Raw genomic sequence first — 25210 nt, 5'->3', positions numbered from 1 at the left:
AATTGCCTGTTTTCCTAGGTGGCTGTACCATGTTATAGTCATGCCAGCAACGTATAAAGATTTCAGTTTCTCTGCTTCCTCTCCAATACTTGCTATTGTCTCTTTTTATTGGAGCCATTTTACTAGATATGTATGGGTGCCTCATTGTGGTTTTTATTTGCATTTCCCTAATGACTAATGATGCTAGCTTCTTTTCATGCACCCATTAGGTTAGTCATCTTGTGTCTTTGGTGAAGTGCTTATTCAACTCTTTTTGTTTTAATAGGATTGTTTGTTTATCACTGAGTTGTTAATGTTCTTCATATATGCTCAATAGAAGTCCTTTATCAGATACATAATTTGTAAGCCTTTTCTCCCATTCTGTGGTTTGTCTTTTCATTTTCTTAATGTCTTTTGAAGTGTAAAGGTTTTAATTTTGATGTTTATTTTATTAACTTTTTCTCTTCTGGATCTTATTTTGGTGTCATATCTGATAAATCTTTGCTTTATCCAATGTCAGAAAGATTTTCTTCTGTTTTCTTTCTGGACATTGTATAGTTTTCGTTCTTTTATTTAGATCTATGGTCATTTTTTTTTTTTTTTGAGATGGAGTCTCACTCTGTTGCCCAGGCTGGAGTGCAGTGGCACAATCTCCACTCACTGCAACTTCCACCTGCCCGGTTCAAGCGATTCTTCTGCCTCAGCCTCCCGAGTAGCTGGGATGTCAGGTGCCCGCCACCATGCCCGGCTAATTTTTGTATTTTATTATTAGAGACGGGGTTTCACCATAATGGCTAGGTTGGTCCCGAACTCCTGACTTAAAGTGATGCATCCACCTTGGCCTTCCGAATAAAGTGATGGGATTACATGCGTGAGCCACTGCACCTGGCTGAGACCTACAATCTATTTTGAATTACTTTTGTGTATGGTGTGAAGTGAGAATCTAAGTTCTTTTAAAAATTTTTTTGCATACTGATATCCAATTGTCCCTGCATCATTTGTTGAAAAGGGTATCTTTTCCTCATTAAACTGTCTTGGCACTTTGTTGAAACTCAATTGACTGTACATGTGTGCATTTATTTCTGGATTTTGTATTGGGTTGCATTGATCTATGTCTATCTTTATACTAATACGACACTGTCATGATTACTGTAGTTTTACGGTAAAATCTGAAATCTGGTAGTGTAGGTCCTTCAACTTGTTCTTGCTTTTCAAAATTTTGGCTAATCTGGGTTGTTTTCATTATCATATACATTTTAGGATGAGCTTGTCAATTTCTACCAAAAAAGCCTGCTGAGATTTTGATACATATTTGATAGAGATTTTGATGGCAATTTGGGAAAGATTGCCATCTTAATAGTATTGAGTCTTCCAATTCATGAACATTTATTTACATCTTCATTTATGTAGATCTTGTTTAAATTTTAGCAGTATTTTATAGTTTCCTGTGTATAATTTTTTTATTTCTTTTGTTAAATTTCTAAATGCTTTATTCTTTTTGATGCTATTGTGAATGAATTCTTTTCTTAATTTTATTTTCAGATTGTTCATTGCATAAAAATACAATTGGTGAGCCAGGTGCCGTGGCTCATACCTGTAATCCCAGCACTTTGGGAGGCTGAGGTGGGTGGATCAATTGAGCTCAGCAGTTCGAGACCAGCCTGGGCAACATGGCAAAACCCCATCTCTACAGAAAATACAAAAATTAGCCAGGTGTGTGGCATGCACCTGTGGTCCCAACTACTTGGGAGGCTGAGGTGGGAGGATCGCTTGAGCCTGGGAGGCAAAGTTTGCAGTGAGCCAAGATCGTGCCTCTGCACTCCAGCCTCCTGTCTCAAAAAAAAAAAAAAAAAAAAAAAAAAGAAATGCAATTGATTTTTATATCTTGATCCTATATGCTGTGGTGCTTTTAAAACCAAAATGTCTTGATACTTCTCCTATTGAGAGATGGGATCCACCCTTGAGTCTGGCTCTAAAAGTTCTTGGACTATAAAATACGACAGAACAAATACTAAGGCCTTTAGAAACTAGCAGCTTTCTTCCTGTCTGTTGGGATACTTGCTCTTGGACATCAGCCACCATGCTGTGAGGAAGTTCAAGTAGCCCATGGAGGGGCCCATGTGGAGGTCTGGTTGGAGAGGAATCAAGGCTCCGCCCATCAGCAGCACCCGCTTGCCAGCCATCTGAGTGAGCTGTCTTGGAAGTGGATGCTCCAGCCTCCAGTTAAACTTCTTTGGCTGGTGCTTCATGAAACAGAAATGAGTTTCCCTGCTAGGACTTGCCTTCAATGCAGATTTGTGAGCAAAGTAAGTGACCATTGTTGATAGGAGCCACTAAGCTTTTGGAATAGTTTGTTTCACAGAACTCAATAACTGAAACATTTGTCCTCTGAGTCTGATTAAGCACTTGAGTGGGAAAGAAAGAGTAATGGAGAAAGGAGGAGGGGAGGAGGGGCTGAAAGCAGGCAGCGGGAAGGAAGAAGTGATGATTTGAGTGACCGCTCTGCTGCTGACCTGGCTGGCCACTCTGTGTGCCCTGCCCCTTCCTGCAACCTCCGCTTTTGACACAGCCCTTTTCTGTTGGGTCTGTCCCATATCGCCCAGGGCTCCTGTGTGGCCCTGTCTTCCCAGGGCCAATCAGGGGTCACAATGCCCAAGGTCAGACCTGTTTGTTTGGAGTTGTCTGGAGAGCAAAGCCCTAAGTGAGCAAGGATGAGGTGGAGAAGGAAGGGGCCCCACAAGTGGCAGCCAGTCCAGCTCACACGAGCTCCTGGGCAGCCTGGCCCCTCGGCCACTGACATGGCTCCCTTCTTATGTCCTAGACATTCCCCTCCCCCTTTGCTCTTTTCATGACTGGCTCTTTTACATCCTTCGGTCCTTAGCCAAAAAGACACCTCCTTAGAGAGGCCCTCCCTGACTGCTACAAAATAATACGTTCCTCCTTCTCCTTAATAGCTCACTCCATCTCCTGTTTGCCTAATCCCTGGCACTATCACAATGTGCCATTGTCCATGAGTTTGTGAGCTCTCTGTCTGGTGTGTCTGGACTGTCTGCTCTCTGAGGGTAGGGCCACTGGGCCTTTTTCTCGGCTGTGTTCCCAGTACCCTGCCTAGCAGGTACCTGCGGAATGAGTGAACAGTGAAAGCTAACACTGGCATAGCTTCTGTAAGAGCTGGCCCTATTCTAAACACTTTACTTAGATCAACTGAATAAATCCTCTGAACAACCCATAAGCTAGCAATTATTATTATCCTAATTTTATAGATGAGGAACCAAGAACAAGAAGTCTATGTGTCCCACAGCTGGTAAGTGGTGAGGCTGGGGTTTGGAACCAAGGCAGTCTGGTGCCAGAGTCGATGCTCACAGCTCCTGAATGAGTGGTGCCCACCTCCTTCTGGCTGTAACACTGCTTCAGGGGGTCATGGACCCCAGGCTCCACTGCTGTTCTCAGATACCATATGCAGGATGTCCCATGCTGTCCCCAACCCCCACCCCCTTCAACCCCCACACACCTATTCTCCTCTCCTGGATGAGAGCTCTGACTTCACTGATCTTGGCAGGTCCCAGCAGACCATTCTCCTCCCAGCAGTCCTGGGAGGAGGACTTGTCATCCTCTTATGACAAAAGGGGAAACTGAGGTTCTCTGGGGGAAGAAAAAGGGGCTGCCTTGTTCCCCAGGCCAGGACTCTTTTCTCTGCCTTTCAGCTGCTCGATCTCATAGGCAGCAGAGCATTTTAAAAAGCTGGGTGGGCTTCCCAGACAGGGCTCCTCTTATTTCCCAATAGCTCGGTGGGGAGGGTGGCAGGTATGGTTTCTTGTCCCCATTCTGTTGATGAAAAAACTGAGGCCCAGAGAGATGAAGCCCGTTGCTTGTGGTCATGTAGCTGATGAAGACCCAGGCTTCCTGGCTTCCAGCCCTGGGTCCATCCTGGGCACCCATGACACCAGGTGGCAGGCACTTCAGGCTCACCTCTCTCTGGGTCAGGGTGAGATGTCAAGGTGACTGGCTCATAATAGGTGAGAAATATCCCATCAAACAGCTTGGAAGGTGATTTTTGAATGAATGCACGAGTGAATGAATGATTCTCTGATGTACGCCCCATAGTGGAGGCTTGGCAGGGCACCTGTAAGGGCTCTGTAAGTGCTGGCTGCCCATTGAGCCCTTCAGGGTGTGAAGTCGGTGTGACCTAATAGTTTGGGCTGAAGAAAATGATCCTTTTTCTAAGGGAGAGGCGAATCCAGGGATATGGAAGGTCGGGGAATGCTGCTTGGAGGAGGTGGCATTGGTACTGGGCTTGAAAAGTTGAGGGGAGAAGCGCTTAGGATAGGAGGCCTAACAGGGTCATCAGAACCCTGGATCCAGCTTCCATCACTAGGATGGAGGCGAGGGCAGGAAGGCGGAAACACTCATGCCCTGGGGAGTGGGGGCCTAACCATCCATTGCACAAGGCCCAGAGCAGCCAGGCAGGATGAGGGCCATTCCTCTTGTTCCTCCATGTGTTAGACCAGGTCTCCAGGATTTTCCCAGTGCCTCCCTCTGAAACCCGTCTTTCCTTTGTCAGTGAACCCCAAAGACGGGCTAATTTTTGGCTTTGGACACATGTGGGTTCTGCTTCAAAGAATTTCAATCCATGAAAATGCAAACTTCTAAGGGAAGGGAATTTCATTTATTACACCTCCCAGGGCACTAGGCATTTTACATACGCTCATTTCTTTCTCATAAGACCCCATGAAAAAGTTACGATTCTTTTTTTTAACAGCTTTACTGTTTAAAGTTCATCCATTTAAAGTGTACAATTCCATGGTTCCATGTATATTTACAGATTGTGCAACCATCACCATAATCTAATTTTAGAACATTTTCATCATCTCCCAAAGAAATCTTGTACCCATTAGCAGTCACTCCCCATTCCTTCCTCCGGCTCCCACATACCAAAAAAGTCTTGAGACTGGCATAATGAATTCCTTTTACCCCACCACCCAGCTTCCATCATAATCCAGTTCCATCCTGGCTGCCTTATCTTTCTTTGCTGATGCTGTTGCTGAAGAATCCTAAATCCTCTCTATTCCAAGTGTATTCTGTGGACCAGCCGCATGGGCTTAGCCAGGAATTCGTTAGAAATGCAGAATCTCAGGCCCCACCCCAGTCCCTTTGAATCAGAATCTGCCTTTTAATAGAGTTCCCATGAGATCCATGTATGCAATAGCATTTGGGCAGCTCTGGGATAAGAGTAAGCTTGAGTCTTCATGACATGTCACCTTCATACACTTCAATGTGTGTCTCTGACATAGGAACATCGTCTTCCATAACCACCAGGCCATTATCACAATGACTGAGATAAGCAAGAATTTGGAACTTCCTCTCTGAATTCCCATTCTGAAATTCCAGGTCCCAGCTAGGAATGCAGTGTAGGAATTGAACCCAGACCCGTCTGGCTGCACGCCTTTCTTCCCTCCACCTTCACCATTCTGAGGCTGTCCCCAGACAGCTGAGAGGCTTTGAGCCATGCCCATTTATCAAGGGCAGCCTGGAGCCTTCAGCAGAGTGCCTTGCAGACACTGAGACACCGGGCTGCTCACTCTTTCTCTCTGAATGGCTGTGGTGGTAATGGTAGCACCTCGGATGATGACCAGCTGACCAGATGACCATAGTCAGCCTCTCAGGCACAGCATTAGTGATTGATAACAAAGGGGACTGCTGGCTGGGCCAGGGGCCAACCCACCACTGACCTGCTGTGTGACCTGGGCCAGCCCCTCTCCCCTTTGGAACTCTTTCTTAGAGAGGCCAGACTAGGGAACCTGGGCTTGGTCCCAATACAGCAGGGTTTGCCGTGTGCCACCATCACTGGGCTCACCCCATGGCCATTCTGGGCGCCAGCACAGTGGTGTCTCTGAGTAGCCTTGTCCCTTCTCCCCTACCTGAACTCCAGAGGGTATTTGTTGGGGAGAGGGGCACCTGCTTGCTAAGAGGAGCCCTATGACAGTGGAGGCTGGGTTCTTTGAATTTGGTGTCATGAAGTGGAATCAGTCCTAGTGCCCTTGAGGCCCTGCAGGGACCCTGGCCCTATCCTCGGCGTCCTAGGGGGAGCCCAGGGGAAAGGCAGGCCTGGGCATGGCTCTCTGGGAGCTGCAGGCTGAAGTGGAGGGAAGACTTGGAGCAGCTCATCCCCATCCTGGCATCAACTGAAGTCCTCCAGCCTTCTGATTTTAGGGATGGGTAACCCAACATGGCACAAGAACTCAGGGCTTCTCAGAGCCCTTCTGACTCTCACGATAAGGGCACCGTGTCCTGCCCAGATGAAAGGCCATGAAAGTGCTAATGGGACTCTGTCCCCATCCATTGAGCTCCCTTCTCAGTAAATGGGCAGTTGTGGATACAGGATCTGGTGTCAGGCAGCCTGGGCTGAAACTCAGCTCTTTCTTACTAGGTGTGCCACCTGAGGTGAAGTGTAGGGTAGCTTTGAGTCAGTGCTGCTTCTTATGGAAACGAGGTGTGGTCATCACCATATCCATCTCAAAGTGCACCCGGGAAGATTGAATGGAGGTAAGCAACCTGGCACACAGCACCGGGGCAATAGAGGTCAGCTGCTACTCTTATTTATTTATTTGAGGCAGAGTCTTGCTGTGTCGCCCAGGCTGGAGTGTAATGGCACAGTCTTGGCTCACTGCAACCTCCGCCTCCTGGGTTCAAGTGATTCTCCTGCCTCAGCCTCCCGAGTAGCTGGGATTACAGGTGCCCACCACCATGCCTGGCTACTTTTTGTATTTTCAGTAGAGACGGGGTTTCACCATGTTGGCCAGGCTGGTCTCCAACTCCTGACTTCAGGTGATCTGCCTGCCTCGGCTTCCCAAAGTGCTGGGATTACAGGCATGAGCCACTGCACCCCACCCAGCTGCTACTCTTATTAATTAGCATTATGGGCCTCTGCCTGGAAGCCCCAGTGTCTTATTGAATGTGGAAGGCCCTTAACAACCTGGCTTTTGATTTCCTCTCTTGCCTTAACCCCCCTTCCCCATCCCTGCTTTCTATGTTCCAGCCCAAATGATCTTTAATTGTTTCCTGAAATGAGTTCTTCCCTCCAGACCTTTGCCCATGTTCCCTCTATCTTTCCTTTGTACAAATTTAGACCTCAGTTCCCTGGCAACCTCCCCAGCCCATGATGGCATGGAGGGTCCCTCCTGAGAGCCATCCCTCATATGCACCCCCAGGATCTCTATTGCCATTGCTTGTTTACTTGTTGTCTACCCAGCAGACTGTGAACTCCAGGCAGCAGGGCAAAAGTCCCCAAGTCTCTAGTACCTGGTGCAGGTCCTACTTACTGGAGGTTCCCAGGGAATCTTAGCTGAATTATCAGAAGGATGAGTGGTGTCTGTCAGTATACAGTTAGTGTCTAATGAGTGTGGGCTAACTGCAGTGGGAAATTAGGGCCCAATAAAGCATGGTGCATATTTGTGGGAAGTGGTGGTCAGGAAAGGTTTGCTGTGAGAAATGAGGCCATAACACGTCCTTGGGAGATGCTGCTCAGGCTGAGAGAAGGGAGAGGCATTTAGTTGTCCTCCATGAATGTTTATTAAAGTGCCTGACTTACTTAGCAGGCTGCCCCTGATCTCAGGAAGCCGTTTACCCATACTATGTGTTTGGGGAGCTAGATCTCAGGTGGAATTTACATTTGAGACAAATGTATTGTTGATTGACATGGAAAAAAGCTGTGGGAACTGGTGCTTCAGAGAGAGAGTGATACTTGAGCAGGGCTGTGAAGAATGCATAGGAGTTCATAAGGTAGGTAAGAGAGGACGAGCAGCATGTGCTGAGAGAACAGACCATGAGAAGCCATTGAGGGAAGAAACACGTTTAAGGAATGTTGGAAAGTATGATAGGGCTACATTCAAGGTGACAAGATGAGGCGGTATATTACCAAAATGTGTGAATATCAGGCTATGGAGTTTGGACATTATCCCACAGCTCATTCCTTCAGGTATTTATTCCACTAATATTTACTCAGCACTTACTATATATTAGACTGTGCTAGGTACTGGGCACACCTCAGTGAAAAAATAAAGGTCTTGTTCCCTGTCCCTGTGGAGCTTAGAGTCTAGGAAGGATCCAATGAAAATGATCAAGCAGTAAGCAACATAGTCAATCCAGGATCTTAGGAAAAATGAGTTCATAGTAGCTGAAGTGGAGGATGGATCAGAAGGCAGAGGTGAGGAAACAGGTCAGAAGGAGGCTGGAAAGCGCACAGGCCAGAGATGAGTGTCTGAGCCTGGGCGGTGTGGAGGGGATGGAGAGGAGGCGACGTGTGATAGATCAGAAATGGCTGCACATCGTTGCTGCTCCTCCTATCAAGAAATAGAGTCTAATTTTTGGCCCTTGCATTGAACTGCTTGATCAGTAAATAGAATGTGGCAGAAGTGATGTTTGGGACTTCCAAGGCTGAGTCATAAGAAAGCACACAGGTTGCTTGGGATCCTTGGAACACTCCATGTGGAAGCCTTGAGCCCCCATGGAATCCAGTTACCCCAAGGCTGCCACGTGACAGGTGCTCTGGAGGACAGTTTCAGTGGAGCTCTGCCTTCCAGGCGTCCCCATCATGATGCCAGACATGCGAGTGAAGCCAACACAGGGCTTTCAGAAGGGCCCATCCACCAGCTGAATAGTACTTGAGTAGCACCCATGCACGCCATAGGGACTGGAAGATTTACCCGGCTGAACCCTGTGTGAATTCCTGATCAACACAAATCTCAAGATAGAATAAAATCGTTTTCATTATCAGTCACTAAGTTGTAGAGTAGTTTAGTATACAGCAACAGAGAAACTGGAACAGAATGGAAGACAGAGGCCCTCAGAAGGCAAAGCCAACAGGGCCTACCCTCTAGATGGAAGGAAGAATGCCTGTCACTAAAGGCGGCGTTGAGGGATTGGGGCATTGACATTGGAGTTACCAGATTTAGGAAAATAAAAATACAGGATGCCCCGGTGAATTTCGGGTAAAGAATGAATACATTTGTAGTATAGTATCTCCCGTGTTGTATGGGACATACTTATACTAAACACTCATTGTTAACCTAAAATCCAAAGCTAACTGAGCACCCAGTATTTCACCTGGCCACCTGGTCCAAGTTGGGGAAATGATCTGTGTAAGGGCTAGAGGTGGAGATCTAGGAAGACATCTAGGAAGCCTGAGAGATGATGGGGTGAGGGGCCCTGGGGTCAAATGTGTAGGGTCCGGGAAGCCCAGGCAGGGGGCAGACTGTGCCACTGGCCGTGGAGAGTCCATGTGGGTCCATGTGGGAACTGGAGCATGTTCCCTTGGCAAGTTTCTTGGCTGTGGCTGTGCCTGGGCCCCCTCTCAGGAGCCACACTCTATATGTGGTGCTAGTGACCGGGACAGGCAAGTGCAGCCCTCTCTGCCCTGACGCGCCACCTCCCTGCAGCATGTGAGGAATGTGGCCTGCTGAGAGCTCCCTGCATGGCTGTGGCTGGGTGCCCAGGCTGCTGTCCATCTGCCCTGCGGAGGCATCTCCTTCCCCATCCCATCCTGTTGGTTCTCCTTGCAGACTGCTGTCCCATTAAATCCACAGACTTCTCCTCCACATCTTCAGAAATGCTGACACACGAGCACTGTCTGGAGACTTGTCTGCTGGTGGTGTGTGGAGCGCTCCCCGGAGCAGGGCTGGGCTGAGGTGGCAGAGAGCTCTCCTCCCTCCTGCAGGGCCTGGGGCTGGGGGACTCCTGGCACTCTCCACTCTCTCTTCTGTTCCCAGCCTCCTGGAGAGCCAGGCCTTTTCTAACCCTGGGAAGCCCCCGGGAGAGGTGCATTCAGGCTGCTACTCCAGGGTCTGCTGCTTCTGTCCTGTCTCTCCCCAGACCCTCACAATAGCTGTGTCTGACGTCTCTCACCTGGAGAGGAAGCTGTCCTCCTAAGTCTGCATGCAGAGCCGCAGCCACCTCTGAGCTAGGGGAAGTGTGGGGTTCTGGCCTGGGTTGGGAAGTCCCTCTTATGGCCACACCTCTTCCCTTGGGGCTCTGGCTTGGAGTCCCTTTGAAGCAGGCCTTTCTCTACAACCTCCTATGGCTCCCCATTGCCCATGCATCAGCCTGAATGGCCTGGTTGGCCTCACCCTGCCTACCCCAGTCTGCCCATCACCTTTTCTTCCTCTTGACCCAGACACACCACCCTGGTTGGCAGGAACCTTCCCTCTGCACATCCTCTCCCCCAGCACTGCTCAGACTCCACTTCTTTGTTGGGAAACCATCAGACCTACTGTGTGCTGAGCACTGAGCTAGGTGCTCTAGGGGACACCATGTGATTTGGATGAGGCCCCCCCCTTCAAGGAATGAGGGGTTCCCTTGAGAAGACAGGGAGGTACGGTAGACAGATGGGCAAACCAAGTCAGAACTGGGTGTCTTCCCTTCTAGAGTCAAGAATCTAGAGCCGATCTCTTCAATGCTAGCAAGTGACTGAGTGACCATGACTGAGTGCCCCGAGGTTTCTGAGCCTCAGGTGCCTCATCATGAACTGTAGCCAATGCTACTCTTTTCCTTCCTACCCCACAGAGTGTGAGAATCAAGTGAGACAGCAATTGCGAAAGCTGGGCAGCAACATGTTTCTTAGTGGATAGGGATTATTTTTGTCTGGTGGAGCACATCTTTGTTTATTTGTTTGTTTGTCTGAACATAAAGGGCTGCTCTGCAGAAGCGGAGGACAAATGGTTCAACTCCAGCTGGGTGAGTTGAGGCAGGTTCCGTGGAGAAGGGTCACTGGAGGTGGGACTGAAAGAGCACGAAGGGATTTTCCATGAAGATGAAGTCAAGATGGGGCAGCGAGCGGTGGGAAGGGCGTTTCATTCTCTGCAGATGGCATGTGCAAAGCCACTGGAGAGCAACAGAGCCTGGCATATGTGGCCACCCAGGCTGACACCCAGGGTGTGTGAGGAAGGGTGAGACAGAATGGGGAGCCCAGGGATGCTGGAGGGAAGAGGTCACCCTGGGGTCAGCATGGGAAGGCCTTTGCCTGCCAGCTGAGGAGTCTGGACTTCATCCACTTGACAGCGGGGAGCCAAGGAAGGCTTTTTGCAGGAGTGACACGGTCAAAGGCATGCCTTGCCCCTTCTTGATGCCGTCGTAGCTCCTCTCCCTTTTTTCAAATTTTGCCTCCTCTGTGGAGTTTTCTCTAAATGTTCTGAGTCCCCCGACTCGGGGCACAGCTGATGCTCTTGGGGCTGACCAAGGAGGGGGTTGCCTCCTGTCTGTCCTTCCCCGGTGCCAGCCTGAAGCCCAGTGCTGCCTAGGTACCTCATGTCCTTCACCGAATCTCACTGACTGTCCCAGTACGCATAAACCGTGCTCCTGTCTCTTGCTCTGTGATGTTGGCATGAAATACTCAGATGCCACCACAGCAAGGATTGACCCACATCTCTGGGGTCAAACCAGCTCGGAGGGGCCAAGTCATGTCTCGATTTGATTTTCCTGGATTAGAGTCAAGCTCAGTGACTGTAACAAAAACAGCACCCCCTCCCTTGGTTTAGAAGAGTTGTCATCCCTGGATCTGGCGGCTCTGGGCTGTTTTTATTTTTAACAACCAGAGTTGCCTTGTGGCTGGAGGTGAAAAGCAAAATGCATAGAGAGCAGAGAGGAGGCTGTGTCTATGGGGTCCCTATGGATGGGGGCACAATCATCTCACGAGCGCCTTGGTGACGTCGAGGCTGCACCCTCATTCATAGCCTCCAGGAATTCTCTATGTAGATCTTAAAGTCCCAAAGGGTACTCTGGTTCTATTCTTAACTCTGTAAGAATAAGGGGGATACTTATAACTCTATAAGTATAAGGGAGAAACTGAGGCCCCATGTGGGATGCATCAACTCAGATCACACTGGGGGTCAATGGCAGAACCGGGAGTAGAACCGTGCTTCTTGCTTCCTGGTGGGTGCATTTTTTCCCGGCCCCAGCTTGGTTCTATGTATGGGGACTAAACTGAGTCAGGGAGAGCTTGGAGGGGAGGTGCTGGAGTTGAGATAGAGCTGGAAGAAAGGGAGCTTCAGTGACAGACACCGATGCAAAGCTGGGACAGAGCTGCTGGGGAAGATCTGGCTTAGATTTGGCCAAAAATTGTACACTGCTCATTTTAAATGCTGTATGGTGTGCCCAGTTCAGCCACCCATCCGCTGGAAAGGGTGGAAGGCAACACAATACTTTTTTTTTTTTTGAGATGGAGTCTTGCTCTGTTGCCCAGGCTGGAGCGCAGTGGCCCGATTTTGGCTCGCTGCAACCTTCACCTCCTGAGTTCAAGCAATTCTCCTGCCTCAGCCTCCTGAGTATCTGGGATTACAGGCGTGTGCCACCATGCCTGGGTAATTTTTGTATTTTTAGTAGAGATGGGGTTTCACCATGTTGGCCAGGCTTGTCTTGAACTCCTGATCTCAGGTGATCTACCCAGCTCAGCCTCCCAGAGTGCTGGGATTACAATCGTGAGCCACTGTGCCCGGCCAATACTTTCAAGATTTCCTAAGTATGGAAGGAGGAGCCACCCTTAGGCTCCGCTTGGAGCACGGCTGGAGAGGATAGCTGGGCATGAGCTGGGTATCCACTGAGTGCCAGGCATCTTTCTTACCTCCACCTATTTCTCCTGAGCACCTAGTCAGTTCTGGGTGTTGAGGGTATGGATATCAAAACAGAATCCTACACTTTATGGAGAAGACACCCATCTCGACAAGCACTGTTTTTTTTTTTTTTTTTTGAGATGGAGTTTCGCTCTTGTTTCCCAGGCTGGAGTGCAGTGGCAGGATCTCGGCTCACTGCAACCTCCACCTCCTGGGTTCAAGCAATTCTCCTGCCTCAGCCTCCTGAGTAGCTGGGATTACAGGCTAATTTTTTGTATTTTTAGTAGAGATGCGGTTTCACCATGTTGGCCAGGCTGGTCTTGAATTCCTGACCTCAGGTGATCCACCTGCCTCAGCCTCCCAAAGTGCTGGGATTACAGGCGTGAGCCACCGCACTGGCCTAAACAAGTACTTTGAACAGAATGATCTTATCCCCTAGCACAGCATCAGCCTCAGGTGGGAGGAGGGGTAGTCAGTGGAGGCTTTCTGGAAGAGGAGGCGCCTGAGATCAGTCTTGAAAGACGAGAGAATTAAGCAGACTGAAAATGGGGCAGAGTGCTGTCAGCAGATGAAACAGCGTGAACAAAACCAGGGAGGCATGAAGCTGTGTGAAGTGATTATTGCCTTGTGCTGTGATAACACACACCCCAGCCCAGGGTGGAGGGAGAGGATTCTGGAGGCTCAGTGGGGCACTGGGTCTGCCGGTGGGCCACCCTTAGCAGTTTGATTTCATCTTACAGGTTCTAAAGCTGGAGAGCGGCTTGTTTGGATTTGCATTTTAAGTGGTGACCCTGGCAGCAGTGTGGCAGCTGACTCAGTGAGCAGAGGCATGAGGCAGGGGAGGCTGTTGCAATAACCCAGACAGGAGATGATGAGGGCTTGACCTTGGGCTGTGGTAGCGGGACAGGGAGAGGGACGGGTTGAGAAACATTTAGGAGGTCAAGTTGTTGGGACCCAGAGACTGATGGGATGTGTGTGGGATGAGAGGGAGGAGTCAAGGTGGCCTTGTCCTGGGGCTGAGCAGTGGTGCAACCCAGCCCTGAGGAATTCCGGGAGTGGAGCCGACTTGGAAACTCAAGGCCAATCTCAGGTTGAGACATGGTGAGTCTGAGGTGCCTATGAGGTGTTAAGGTGGCCACAGAACCCCAGGAGGCAGCTGGAAACCCAGGGTCTGGAGGGCAGGAGAGGCTGAGCCAGACGTGTACGTCTGGAAAGGATAAGCCCACAGCAGTGGGGGAACCACAGGGGTGGTGAGACGGTCCAGGAAGACCCACAGAGGGAAGAAGGGATCTCTCCCTGCCATCCTTGGCCTCTAGTGAGTGGGTGGAGGAAGGGGCACCCGCAGGAGAGGAGGGATGGTCAGAGAGGTAGGAGGCTAGCAGAAATGGTGATGTCACGTGGTCCCGGGGAGGACACAGCTGTTAAGTGTGAGGATGTGGGGGACTGCACTGAATGCAGTAAAGTATCCCACAAGAAGAGGACAGCAAGTGGCCTGCCAGGGAGAGGCAGAGATTAGGGAAGATCTCCTTAGGATGGGAGAGATGTGAGCACATGCAGAGGCCTGGTGAGAGCAGGAAGTCTTGGTAGAGAGGGACATGCTGTAGGCCAGGGAGAGATGGGCGAGGTTCCAGAGCGGGCCTGCCCAGCACCTCACTGCAAGGGTGGGCTGGCAGGCTGAAGAGAGACCTTCCTTACCCTCTGATTCTGGACAGAGGATACTCAGGATGGGTGTGGGGCTGTGTTTGGAGGCAGGGCAGGGGCAGCAGGTCCCACCAAAGGGCCTTCATATTTTGACGAAGCCAAGTGTCTCTGGGAATTGAGGTTGGCAGAGGGAGAAGGGTGAAGGTCAGTGAGACAAAGAACCCATGAGGGAAATGGGAGGCCGGCAAGCAGGCAGAGGACTTTGGGTTCATGTCCACGGTGCAGTTGAGACTGGAGACCTCATGTTGACACTGGCGCCAAATCTTCATGCTGTGGGCCCTTGCCAGCCTAAGCTTGCCGTGTAAAGAGTGTGGTTGGGTTGGCCCCTGTTAAGTCTGGCTGGGCGGATGAAGGGAAGGATGGGGGTACTAAGAAATCAGGGGTGCTGGTGAGAGGGTCATTCTGATGACCAAACCATTGGAGCAGTTGGAGAATGTGGTCAGAGGGAAAGAAGAGATGTTGGGGTTAAGATGGAAGAGGAAAAGCAGTTTCGAGTGGTGGCCTGGGATTGGGGGCTGGACTTGAGTAGGCTAGAGGGTCCCTGGAGAAGGGTGCTGGAGGTCCGGGGAGTCCAGGTATTGGATGGGTCACCCACATGGATGCTGAAGGCCATCAGCTGCTGGCAGACCTTGGACAGGGAAGGAGAGGCAGCGACCTGAGGCTGGGTAGTTCAGGAGCAAAAGATGCTGGCTAGGAAGGTGGGATCCAAGAGGTTGGGAGAGAGGGGAAAGTAGTAGAATCAGGAGGCATGAACCCTAAATGAGAAAAAAAAATCCCATTCTAGGGCAGGGTGCAGTGGCTCATGTCTGTAAACTCAGCACTTTGGGAGGCTGAGGTGGGCAGATCACTTGAGCCTAGGAGTTCGAGACCAGCCTGGGCAACATGGCAAGACCCTGTCTCTCAAAAAAAAAAAAAAAAAGAAAGGGTCTGATGGCCTCACAGTCTGGAAACACCCCTAGGGATGTGAAAGGGATGTGGGGATCTTGGGAACCACACAAGGGAGTGAGATGTAGGAACAGAAACAGCCGCCCCAGAGAGGATAGAGGAGATGGGTCACCAGCGGCAAAGCCTCCATCACAAGGCTGAGGACAGAGGGGGTGCTCTTAAAGGAAGTGGGGTCCCAGAAGGGCCAGTGGGGAGGTCTGGGAAGGAAGGTCGGTGAGGCAAAGCGCAGTGACAAGGGATATGACTAAAGGAGGGTGCACTGTGAGCTGTCAGCAAGGAAGCAGGGGTGGGTGGCATGGGGCAGGGTTTCCAAGAGGCAGGGGTCTGTAGGATGAGTGGGAGTTTCTCTGGTGAATACAGGAGGCAACGGGCAGGGAAGAGTGGTCAACAAGCGGGAATTCATTCGTTCCGCAGACACTCACTGGGGCTTCCTATGCTTGGGATGCATCAGTGAACAAAGTGGCAATCCTCACTCTTGTGGGTCTTACACTCTAGCTGGAGGAGGTGGGGGACAGAAAACATCACAAATACGGTCAGAGGTGAATTGTAGAGTGTGTTAGAGGGCCATGAGGCTGTGGCCAAAAGAACAAGCTGAACGGAGCCAAATGGAGTTGTGCAGGTGGAGGGGGCAGGGGCTGGGGGAGCCACTTTGAAGTCGCCGCATAGTGGTCAGGGCAGGCCCGCGTAAGGCTGGCACTCTGGGCCCATGTAGAGTTCCACCCAGTTTGACAGGAACGGCAGTGGGGCTGAGGATCTTGGGAGAGGTGCCTGTATGGTTACTCTGCTGGGTGGTACATGGGAAAATCTCAAGACAAGAATCTTCAGGTTGAGTGAGAAGGGATGGGAAAAGGAGGCAGAGAAAGCAGAAGAAAACCAATATCCACGGGCACCTGCCGAGGGCCAGGCATTGCCCTGGGGACGGCCTCTTGAATTGGTCTCTCCTAACCCTCAAGACAACCCTGTGAGTTAGGAAGGAATTGTTCTTATGGGTCCAGTTTATTTGAAAACAATAGCACCATCAACATGAGCTAATGCTTAGTGCTGTCCTGAACAGTTTGCCTGGATTTTCCTAATGCACCCTCCTGAGCTCCCATTGAGGCTGGTGTCACTGTCTCCACTTTCCAATAACAAGTCTGAGGAAGCTGGGAAGTGTCAGTGCAGTGGCCAAGCTCGTGGACCCCGCAGCCAGCCTGCTGGGTTGGCTTCCCTGCTCACCAGCTGTGTGGCTTTCGGCAATTCCTTAACCTTTCTGGGCTCAGCTTCCTAACCTGGAAAAGAGGAGAGTAAAAGCACCTGCTTTGCAGGGTCGTGGTGAGGATTAAATGAGGGAATATATGGAAAGCACGCAGAACAGGCCCCTGCACCTAGTGGGCGCTGTGCAAGGGTGCGCTGCTGCTATAGTACTATTCCTGCCCCAGCTCACTTAGGAGAAGGCTTTGACCTGGAGCCTGGTGGGACCGACCCTCGCCTCTTCCCGGCTGACACTTTGCTCTCTGTGGTTCTGGACTTGCAGAGCCAGGCTGGGGAGGAAGGAGCTGTGTGACTCCCACCGGGCCTGCTCCTTTGCGGCAGGCATGTGACATATTGTGGCGTGATGTGTTTTCCCCTCATGGTGCAAGACGTGACTCAGAGGGGCATGCTGGGGAAATGAGTTTCTTGGATTTGCCCACCTCATCGCCCCTGCATTCTTTTGAATTTCTCTGAATCAGACTTTATATCTGGCTCTGCCATTCACCAGCCTTATTTATGCAGAAAACAGCCCCACATTTCCAACTTGCTCCACAGCAGTAAAGATTCATCTTTGGCCCGGGGAGGGTAGCAAAAGAGAGGAGGGAAGGGGAAAAAAAGGAAAAAGAAAGAAAAAGGAAGGAAGAAAGAAAGAGCCAGCAACAATCAAAACAACCTTTTTCTCCCTGTGTAATCTGGGCGGCTTCCAGGAGGATAATGTCTTTCCACCGTGGATCGCCCCCTCCCTCCCAGGCTGTTTTCACAGGAAGTAAACCCTGGAGCATTTTCAATGTGCCCCTCCAGGCAGAACAATGAGGCCCTTGAAGCCTCGGAACCCGCGCTTCCTCCAGTTATCCGGAGCCGCGCCGCTGAGGGGAGCCATCTCTGGGGAGGGGGCAGGGGGGAGGGGCGAGTCTGCAGGGCGTTGCGGAGCCGCACGAGGGAAGCCCATTAGTCAAATAATAGGTTTGGATCCGACTGTTTTGCCAAGGTACCCGGCATTTACCCGCTCCCCGATTGGGGGCGGGGAGCTGGGAGGAGGCAGCGAGGATCCAATTACGGCTGCTACTGCCCGGTCGCCGGGAGGTGGCGGCGGGCGGGCCGGGCCGGGCTGGGCCGGGCGGGGCCGGGAGGAGCGGGGATCGGGGATCGGGGATCGGGGATCGGGAGCGCAAGCCTCGGGCCGGCCGGCCTGGAAACACCGCGCCCCGGCCCCAGCCCCGGCCCTGCGCCCCGCGCGGGCTCCTCCCTCCCCACCGGCTCAGCTGCCTCATTGTTTATTGTGGAGCCTGCCTCTCCCCTGCCCGCCCGCCCTCCCGCTCCTTTCTCCCCTCCTCCCGAAAGAAAGAAGAGCCAGTGTGTGGAGAGAATGAGTCATGAATAAACAAACAGCGTGGGGGGAGCTGTCACTCTCAGCTCACTTCCTGGCCGCGCTCCGCTCCGCGACCTCCTGGCGGGGCGCAGAAGCCAGGCTGGCCGAGGTGGGCGGCGGCTGCTGGGGCTGCTGGGGCGCGCGGCCCAGCTCAGTCGGGCCCCTCCGCGGGGCGGGACTGGGCTGGGCTAGGGTGCTCAGGACCCCAGTTCCCAGGCCTGTCTTTGACCACAGCCCTCACAAGCCTCAGGGCCCTTAGAGTAAGCGAGCGTGACATGATGTCCCCAGACTTGTATGGCCGTGTGAGCCGAGGGCTGTGGGCCGGACCCTTGGGTTGGACAGAAGCCATCTGTCACAGACAGGCAGTGCATGCGGGACCTGCGGCGGGCTTGCGGCGCCTGTGTGGGCTCATCCTCTGGGAATGCCAGTGTGTGTCTGCTGAGTTGTGTAGGCGTGGCTTTTTCCGCGTGACACAGGGACACTGCGAGGATGTGTATATATGGCATGTGTGTCTTCTGCATATGGTGTTTGTCTGGAGTGGGGGTTACACGTGTGCTAGTGACCCGTGTGTGTGTGTCTGTTTGTGTTGTGTGGCCAATTTTCCTGACTCTGAATTTGCGTCTGCCACTTTAAGTTTTGAGATTCTTACTTTGTACTTGGCTTTTCTCTATTTAGTCCTTTTTCTTCTCTCTTGTGTGATCCTGTGGGTCATTTGGGGCCACCTCTCCCCTTTAGTGAGGCCCCAGGGCCCCAGCAGACCTCCAGGGCCCGGCCTGGCTGGCCTCAGCGTCCAGCCAGCTGTGGCCACACGCAGGCTGACAGTGCTGACTCATGCCTGGCCAGAGCTGAGTGTGACCAGCGCGCCCAGGCTGGGTGAGCCCCCACCGTGGGGAGGGCAAGGGCCCAGGCCAGCCCAGACCTTCTGGGGACTTGTGACCGCATGACATTAGAGGCAGGGGCAGGAGTAAGTCATTTCTTCTGGCTTCCCTGGCAACCACACAGCCTCACAGGGGTCCACCCCAGGGCCAGTGCTGACGGCTGGGCCTTCGGAAAGGCTAGTGTGACCAAGGCAAGGCTGTGACTCAAGCTACAGCTCAGGCCCCTGCTGCTTGGCTGGGTCTAGAACCTTCCCAGCTCTGGCCCTGCTCCCTCTCTATGGGCTGGCCCAGCTGCCAAAGCTTCCCAGTTCCAGGTTGGAGATTTGCATGCAGGGACAGACCCCCCTGAGGCTGAAGCAGGGCACACATTTGCTCCTTCCCCAGGATTGCTCACTCCTGCAGCCCCCCCAGCCAGGGCTTGCTTGCTGGACTTGGTCCCCTGGCACTGGAATCGTAGCCTTGGTTGTGACCCTGATCAGGGAGGCAGGCTCCAGGGCCACAGCAGGCCAACCCTGGCCACTTCCCAGTCTTTCCCATCCTTCGGGGGGGCAGGTAGTTGGGAAGATTAGGATCTACATAGGCTGGGAGGCAGGTGCATGTGGGGTCACAGCCTGGCTCCTTCATCTGCTAGCTTTATGACCTGGGGAAAGTCACATAACCTCTTTGAACCCCTTTTTCCTCTACTTTAAAATGTGCATAGTGACCCTTACTCCATGGAGAGGTTGCAAAAGTTAAAGAGAGAATGCCTATGAGCCCTGAGTATATGTCATGGAATGTACTTGTCATGGAATAGGGGCTCAGGAAAGGACAGTGTACTCTCTGTCTACCCCCAGCCCTGCCTTGAACCCTGATCTCAAGGCCCAGAATTTTGCCTGTCCAAGCCTGTTGGTCCATGACCCAGGGAAGTGCTGGATCCTGTGGACCTTGGCTGGGATTTGAAAACTCAGAAGCAGTCCTACACGGTACATAGGGGTCTCTGAGTCCCAGGGAAGCATGGGGTCTGGGCTGTCCATTAGAGGTAAGCTGGTCTAGGAAGGACAGCTGTGACAGCATCTTTCTGGATCTTTCCTTGTGGGGAGAAGCCTCCACCCCTCAGGTCATACTCTGGCTGTACCTGGGCTGGTCTCCATTTGAGGACAATTTTTTTTTTTTGAGACAGAGTCTTGATGGAGTGCAGGGATGCAATCTCAGTTCACTGCAACCTTGACCTCCTGGGCTCAAGAGAACCTCCCACCTCAGCCTCCCAAGCAACTGGGACTATAGGCATGTGCCACAATGCCCAGCTAATTTTTCTTTTTTTTTTTTTTGTGGAGATGGGGTCTCACTATGTTGCCCAGGCTTGCAGACAAATTTTGTTTGGCCTACGTGAGATTAAAAAAAAAAAAACCATTATTTACAAATGAAGGCATTTCACATGAAAGTGTGAATTTTCAATTTCCCTCAAATAACTGGGGAGTTTGGCCACACTGGGCTCACGTTTTTATGCGGCAACTGTGGGCTGGAGCTGAGCAGCAGAGGCCCCTACAGGCCGGGTGTATGTTCTCCAGTTTACCACAGTCTCCACTGCTCCCTATTGCACTGGTTCTCAAACTTGAGCATATGGGAAAATCCCTTGGAGGGCTTGTTAAAATACAGATTAGTGGACCCCACCCCAGAGTCTCTGCTTCAGTGGGTTTGGGGTGGGCCTGAGAATTTGCCTGAGAATTTCTGACAAGTTCTCGGGTGATACTGCTGCTGCTGGTTTAGGGCCCCATTTTGAGACCTACTGGGCCGCCTGATGCTGAGGCTGACTGGTCATCTCACTTGGCCTGTTACTTTTCTGTATAGTAGGGAAATATTTCTCTGTACACCCAACTCTAGCAAAAGTAGGAAAATTTAAAAGGACCGAGAATATCATTTGTTCTAGCAAAATGGAGAAGTATATATTTCTTTCTTTTTTTTTTTTTTTTTGAGACCGGAGTCTTACTCTGTTGCCCAGGCTGGAGTGCAGTGGTGTGATCCTGGCTCACTGCAACCTCTGCCTCCCGGGTTCAAGTGATTCTCCTGCCTCAGCCTCCTGAGTAGCTATGATTACAGACGTGCACCACCATGCCTGGCTAATTTTCGTATTTTTAGTAGAGATGGGGTTTCAGCATGTTGGCCAGGTTGGTCTCAAACTCCTGATATCAGATGATCTGCCCGCCTCGGCCTCCCGAAGTGCTGGGATAACAGGCGTGAGCCACCGTGCCCCGCCAAAAATATATATTTCTTTGGAGACAGAAAAGATATTCCCTTGTGGTTACTTGCAAACGATTTGCATATATGTCAGATAAACACAACTTCAGGAGCACAGGGAGGCCTGCCCTGAGCATGGCCTGAGGATATGCCACGTGGCCACTCTGTGCACTTGTTCCTTCACATGTCCACCTCACTCGTTGACTTTGTCTGCTTGACCCTGCAGGTGTTTTGAGTGTGTGACCCCGGCCAGCTACAGTTTATTAATTAATTGAACAACCATGATTTGAACCAGTTCTATTGCTGCACTGTGTTAGGATATGAAGACAGTGAATAAGACAGACCTAATCCCTACCCTCCTGAGGCTCCCAGACTATTGGGACAGACAGACAAAACAAATCGAACTAGTAGGTGAAAAAAGGAATTGCACGTTGTGATAACACATCAGGATGCTGAGATGGAGAATAACGGGTTATATGAGGACCTCTTTTAGTCTGGGTGGTCAAAGAAGCCTCTCTAAGGTTCCCATCCTATGAGGGGTGGGATTGGGAAGCAAATGAGATCCAGATCTCTAGAGATCTCACCCCGCTTCAAAGCCCAGCTTGCGTTCACCAAGCACAGGGAGCATCTTGACCTTCTGACCTGTGTGTGCGCGCTCTGACCTCAGCTCTGCCTGCTGCCCTGTACCTCAGGGCCAGCCACACAGAGCCTCTGTTGTTACTCAGTGGGTTCGTGAGGCTCCACGTGTGTTTGAGAGGCCACGCCGCACCCTGGCAGTTTACTTTGTCTCCCTGGACCTCAGAACCTTTAGGGCCATTTTGCCCTACGCTCACGTAGAGATGGGAAACTCAATCCAGTGCTTCTGGTGTTCCCCACTTCCCAGTCAGTCAAAGGGCAGGACTTTTCCTTTCTCTTAACTTTCCTCTGAGCCCAGCCCAAGGCTGAGCACAGAGCAGGGCATGGGACTGGGAGCTGACACTTCTCACATTTGCATCTCCTAAAATGGCTAAAGAATCTTGGCTGGTTACAGCAAACCAGTGGCACATCCTTCCTGTACTGTGCTTAACATCATTCATCAATCATGACCCTTTCCCGTTGAGCCCCCATATAGCATCAGAATCCTTCTCAACACAGGAAACTGATGCCAACGAATTGGAGTTGACTTCTGGGATTAAATTTAATATCAGGTGGGCCTCATCTGGCTTACTGACTAAGTAGAGACCTGAGGCATGGACCCAGGGTGGGATTTCAGGCACCTGAGCTAGGCGTGGAGGTAGGAGCCAGACTGGCCTGTCAGCTAGAGAAAAAAGAGCTATGGGAGGTTGACAGGCAGTGGGCCAGGATGAATTCTGATCAGAGTGTCCCTATGAATGAGGAAGCAAAGGGTATGAGGCAGTGAGGCAGAAGTGAGGACCTAAGACGGAACTGGGATTGGGGTGGGAGGTGGGTCTGGCCAGGGATGCCTGAGGGCTGGCAACGGGCTTCTTCAGCTCTGCTGAGTAGGGACATGAGGGAGCAGAGCCTGCTGAGACCCACCCTCCTGCCCCACCCAGGCTGCAGTGCTATCCTCCGAAAAGGCTACAACAGCCCCCACCCTAAGTTGCAAGTGAAGATAGCTTAGGGCACTTTGGAGGGACTCTTTTCTAAGCAAAAGAAGCTTTTATGGAAATTAAATTATGGATATTTGTATTCCAGGAACATCAATATATTTAACAGAGCTGAGGCCATTAGGAGAATGCATAGAGATACCGATGGTCCCGAGTTCCCAGAGAACTGTCTGAATGTCTTGTAGCCCTGCTCTGCACAGAGGTCTGGCCAAGGAGTTGGCCTGGCTCCTAGGGCTCCAGACCTCAGGACTGAAAGTTAGCAAGGTGAAACAAACACAAGGGCTTCCCTGCCTCCCCTGGCCAGCTCCCAGGCCCTGGTATGCCTTCCCTCTGCTCCTGGCCCCATTACCCAGCTCTGGGATGGGGCAGGGTGTGGGTGCAGCTCTGCACACCGGCCTCTCCGTGAGGATGGCCTGCACATGTTGTCTGTTCGCTCACTTTCCCATCTGTGTCCCAGAGCTGAGTGAGCACACCCTCGTGGAGTGCCATCCAGGTCCTGGGTCTTCTATCTCACTCCCCTGGGCCTCAGTTTCTTCATCTGTTAAATGGGAATGTGAACCTCATGAGATGGGTAAGATTTTGAGGATTCAGTGGAACAGCTAGCACCCACAGCACTTCACACACTGAGCCAAAGGGAAGGTTACGTCTTCGTACTGTGCCCTTTGGGCTGTGTTGAGTCCTGGGTCTGGTCCACGATGGGCCTTGGGCAGTTCTGGAGCTAGGGCTTTGGTAGCCCCTGAGAATTAGGGACACTCCAGCTGCTGGGCAGGTCTCACTATTCCCCTACTGCCCCTGGTGCGCCCTGCTGCCATGCCTTTGCTTCTCTGAGCTCCATACTTGGAGCTCCCTTCCCTGCTCCATTTCACTTCATCCAAAGTCCTCGTGGTTCAGTGCCAGGGCCACTTCCCCTGGGAGGTGTTGTCTGGGGAGGCCTCTTGCTCTCCCCAGGCCCTCACTCCTTGCAGGATCCACAGTTCACATACTGGTGACTGGGAAGGCTGAGGCAACCACACTTTCCGCAGGCTGTAGGGGCAGGTGAGGGGCTGCGGCTCTGGGGCATGTCCTTGCTGGACAGGTGAGCAGCTCCAAAGCTGTTGGGGGAGATGCCTGTCCCTCACCCTGTCTGGGAGGGGTGTGGGATGCTCGCCACTGGGCAAGGGAACACATGTGGGAGTCCCCGCTCACTTTCCTGCATGTGGGCTGTGGGCAGGGATAGACCTGGCCTCTTCCCTCCATGACCTTTCCTCCTAAGCTTCAGCATCAGGTGCCAGGCTTTGAAGGCTGGAAATGCACAGCGCATGGTGCGGGGTCTGGATCTGCACCCCAACTGGATGGGTAGGGTCTGGGGTGATTTGGCCTCTTGGAGTTTCAATTTCCTCAGTTGTAAAATGGGATGCCTTATTCCATCTCTTAAGGTTATTATGAAAATTACAGGTGTCAACAAGACTGCTCTCTCCTGCCTCAGCTTCTGTCTGCCTAGAATGTTTTTCCCTTCCTGGTTGCCTAGATAGCTCTTATTCATTCTTCAGAAGATCTGGGATCAGTGTTACTTCCTCTAGGAAGTCCTCCTTGGTTCTGAGTTCCAGACAGGTTCCCACACTGGTAGAATCCTGGTCTCTTCTGTGTTTCTTATCTATATGTGAGTCTCTATTTAGAGATGGCGCCCCCCCTCCGCCTCAGTAGACTGTGAACTCCATGAGGGCAGGGGCTGTGTCTGCTTCATTCCCCATCATGTCCTTGTACCCGCCTAGGACCCAGAACTTCAAAGGCAACTGGGGAGTATTTGCTAAGTAAATAACAAATTTGAAGTGCCTCATGCCAAGTTAGGATCCCTAAAATAGCAGCTCTTATTAAATGTTGCCCCCAGAGGCCACGTAACCACTCCTCATTTCAGGCCGTCAGTGGGACGTTATATTGCCAGGAAGTTCGGCATCTGGCCTATGCCAGTCCACCTGCCCTGGGGAAGTGCCCACCCATGCTGCGCTTTGCTGTCCTCTCAGCCCCTGGTGCAGGGAGGGCAGGAGAAGAGCCAGGTGAGGTGTGCCTGAGGCCTGAGCCCCCAGTGCTGGTCTCTGTCTGAAGTTCAGCCCTCTGTGCTAGGCCTCCTGGGATCCCTCATGGGCAGGAGGGCAGATGGGAAGTCTGAATCTGAGCACAGCTGGCTAGCTTGCTCGCTGGATAGACAGGCCTTGGCTGCCCCTAAGACCACAGCTAACAGGGTGGTTCTGTGCTCACTGAGGTCACCGGGCTCAGCCCGGGATTCTGGGGTCATTGTCTGTACTTCTCAAGCTTCTGAATCCATTCTCAAGCTTCTGAATCTCCTTGGGCTTCTGAATCCACTTCTGACCACAGATGTGGTGCTCATGTCCCCTTATGAAGCCATCCAGGTCCTGGGTCTTCTATCTCACTCCCCTGGGCCTCCGTTTCTTCATCTGTTAAATGGGAATGTGAACCTCATGAGATGGGTGGGATTTTAAGGATTCAGTGGAACAACTAGCACCCACAGCACTTCACAGTACGTAAAAGCCTGTCCCATCTGTTTTCCTGACAGAATGCAGAGCTCCTTCCCTGGCGGAGCTGGAGACAGATGGGCACTGGGAAGGTGAGATACTCACACAAGAAAGTTCAGAGTGCTGTGGCGTGGGTGCAGCTCAGGCGGGGATGGGCAGCACTCATGTGGATGCGACG

General features: G+C 51.7%; 1 long non-coding RNA gene across 3 annotated transcripts in view, besides 11 other annotated features; it reads left to right on the top strand.

The window, feature by feature from the left end:
- ZMIZ1-AS1 (ZMIZ1 antisense RNA 1) overlaps nucleotides 1-25210 on the top strand; it is a 124123-nt gene that overhangs the window by 75911 nt on the left and 23002 nt on the right. The window lies entirely within an intron of this gene.
- Nucleotides 9086-9277: a silencer, noted in NCBI's record as "fragment chr10:80742018-80742209 (GRCh37/hg19 assembly coordinates)". NCBI's record gives its function as "represses an EF-1alpha promoter that drives an FKBP-Casp9 reporter gene in an ReSE screen in K562 erythroleukemia cells {active_cell/tissue: K562}" and the evidence as "EXISTENCE:reporter gene assay evidence [ECO:0000049][PMID:32094911]".
- Nucleotides 9957-10036: an enhancer, noted in NCBI's record as "active region_3620". NCBI's record gives its function as "activates an Ori minimal core promoter by ATAC-STARR-seq in GM12878 lymphoblastoid cells {active_cell/tissue: GM12878}" and the evidence as "EXISTENCE:reporter gene assay evidence [ECO:0000049][PMID:35858748]".
- Nucleotides 10516-11016: an enhancer, noted in NCBI's record as "H3K4me1 hESC enhancer chr10:80740279-80740779 (GRCh37/hg19 assembly coordinates)". NCBI's record gives its function as "activates a minimal SCP1, AML or CMV promoter by ChIP-STARR-seq in naive H9 embryonic stem cells {active_cell/tissue: H9 hESC(naive)}" and the evidence as "EXISTENCE:reporter gene assay evidence [ECO:0000049][PMID:30033119]".
- Nucleotides 11017-11517: an enhancer, noted in NCBI's record as "H3K4me1 hESC enhancer chr10:80739778-80740278 (GRCh37/hg19 assembly coordinates)". NCBI's record gives its function as "activates a minimal SCP1, AML or CMV promoter by ChIP-STARR-seq in naive H9 embryonic stem cells {active_cell/tissue: H9 hESC(naive)}" and the evidence as "EXISTENCE:reporter gene assay evidence [ECO:0000049][PMID:30033119]".
- Nucleotides 16843-16892: an enhancer, noted in NCBI's record as "active region_3619". NCBI's record gives its function as "activates an Ori minimal core promoter by ATAC-STARR-seq in GM12878 lymphoblastoid cells {active_cell/tissue: GM12878}" and the evidence as "EXISTENCE:reporter gene assay evidence [ECO:0000049][PMID:35858748]".
- Nucleotides 17274-17763: a silencer, noted in NCBI's record as "silent region_2521". NCBI's record gives its function as "represses an Ori minimal core promoter by ATAC-STARR-seq in GM12878 lymphoblastoid cells {active_cell/tissue: GM12878}" and the evidence as "EXISTENCE:reporter gene assay evidence [ECO:0000049][PMID:35858748]".
- Nucleotides 17934-18003: a silencer, noted in NCBI's record as "silent region_2520". NCBI's record gives its function as "represses an Ori minimal core promoter by ATAC-STARR-seq in GM12878 lymphoblastoid cells {active_cell/tissue: GM12878}" and the evidence as "EXISTENCE:reporter gene assay evidence [ECO:0000049][PMID:35858748]".
- Nucleotides 18044-18163: a silencer, noted in NCBI's record as "silent region_2519". NCBI's record gives its function as "represses an Ori minimal core promoter by ATAC-STARR-seq in GM12878 lymphoblastoid cells {active_cell/tissue: GM12878}" and the evidence as "EXISTENCE:reporter gene assay evidence [ECO:0000049][PMID:35858748]".
- Nucleotides 18447-19378: an enhancer, noted in NCBI's record as "H3K27ac-H3K4me1 hESC enhancer chr10:80731917-80732848 (GRCh37/hg19 assembly coordinates)". NCBI's record gives its function as "activates a minimal SCP1, AML or CMV promoter by ChIP-STARR-seq in naive H9 embryonic stem cells {active_cell/tissue: H9 hESC(naive)}" and the evidence as "EXISTENCE:reporter gene assay evidence [ECO:0000049][PMID:30033119]".
- Nucleotides 23201-23984: an enhancer, noted in NCBI's record as "H3K4me1 hESC enhancer chr10:80727311-80728094 (GRCh37/hg19 assembly coordinates)". NCBI's record gives its function as "activates a minimal SCP1, AML or CMV promoter by ChIP-STARR-seq in naive H9 embryonic stem cells {active_cell/tissue: H9 hESC(naive)}" and the evidence as "EXISTENCE:reporter gene assay evidence [ECO:0000049][PMID:30033119]".
- Nucleotides 23991-24490: an enhancer, noted in NCBI's record as "H3K27ac hESC enhancer chr10:80726805-80727304 (GRCh37/hg19 assembly coordinates)". NCBI's record gives its function as "activates a minimal SCP1, AML or CMV promoter by ChIP-STARR-seq in naive H9 embryonic stem cells {active_cell/tissue: H9 hESC(naive)}" and the evidence as "EXISTENCE:reporter gene assay evidence [ECO:0000049][PMID:30033119]".

The sequence above is a fragment of the Homo sapiens genome, chromosome 10 (assembly GCF_000001405.40).
Source record: "Homo sapiens chromosome 10, GRCh38.p14 Primary Assembly".
Lineage (NCBI taxonomy): Eukaryota > Metazoa > Chordata > Mammalia > Primates > Hominidae > Homo > Homo sapiens.
This window is presented reverse-complemented; position numbering and strand designations above follow the sequence as displayed.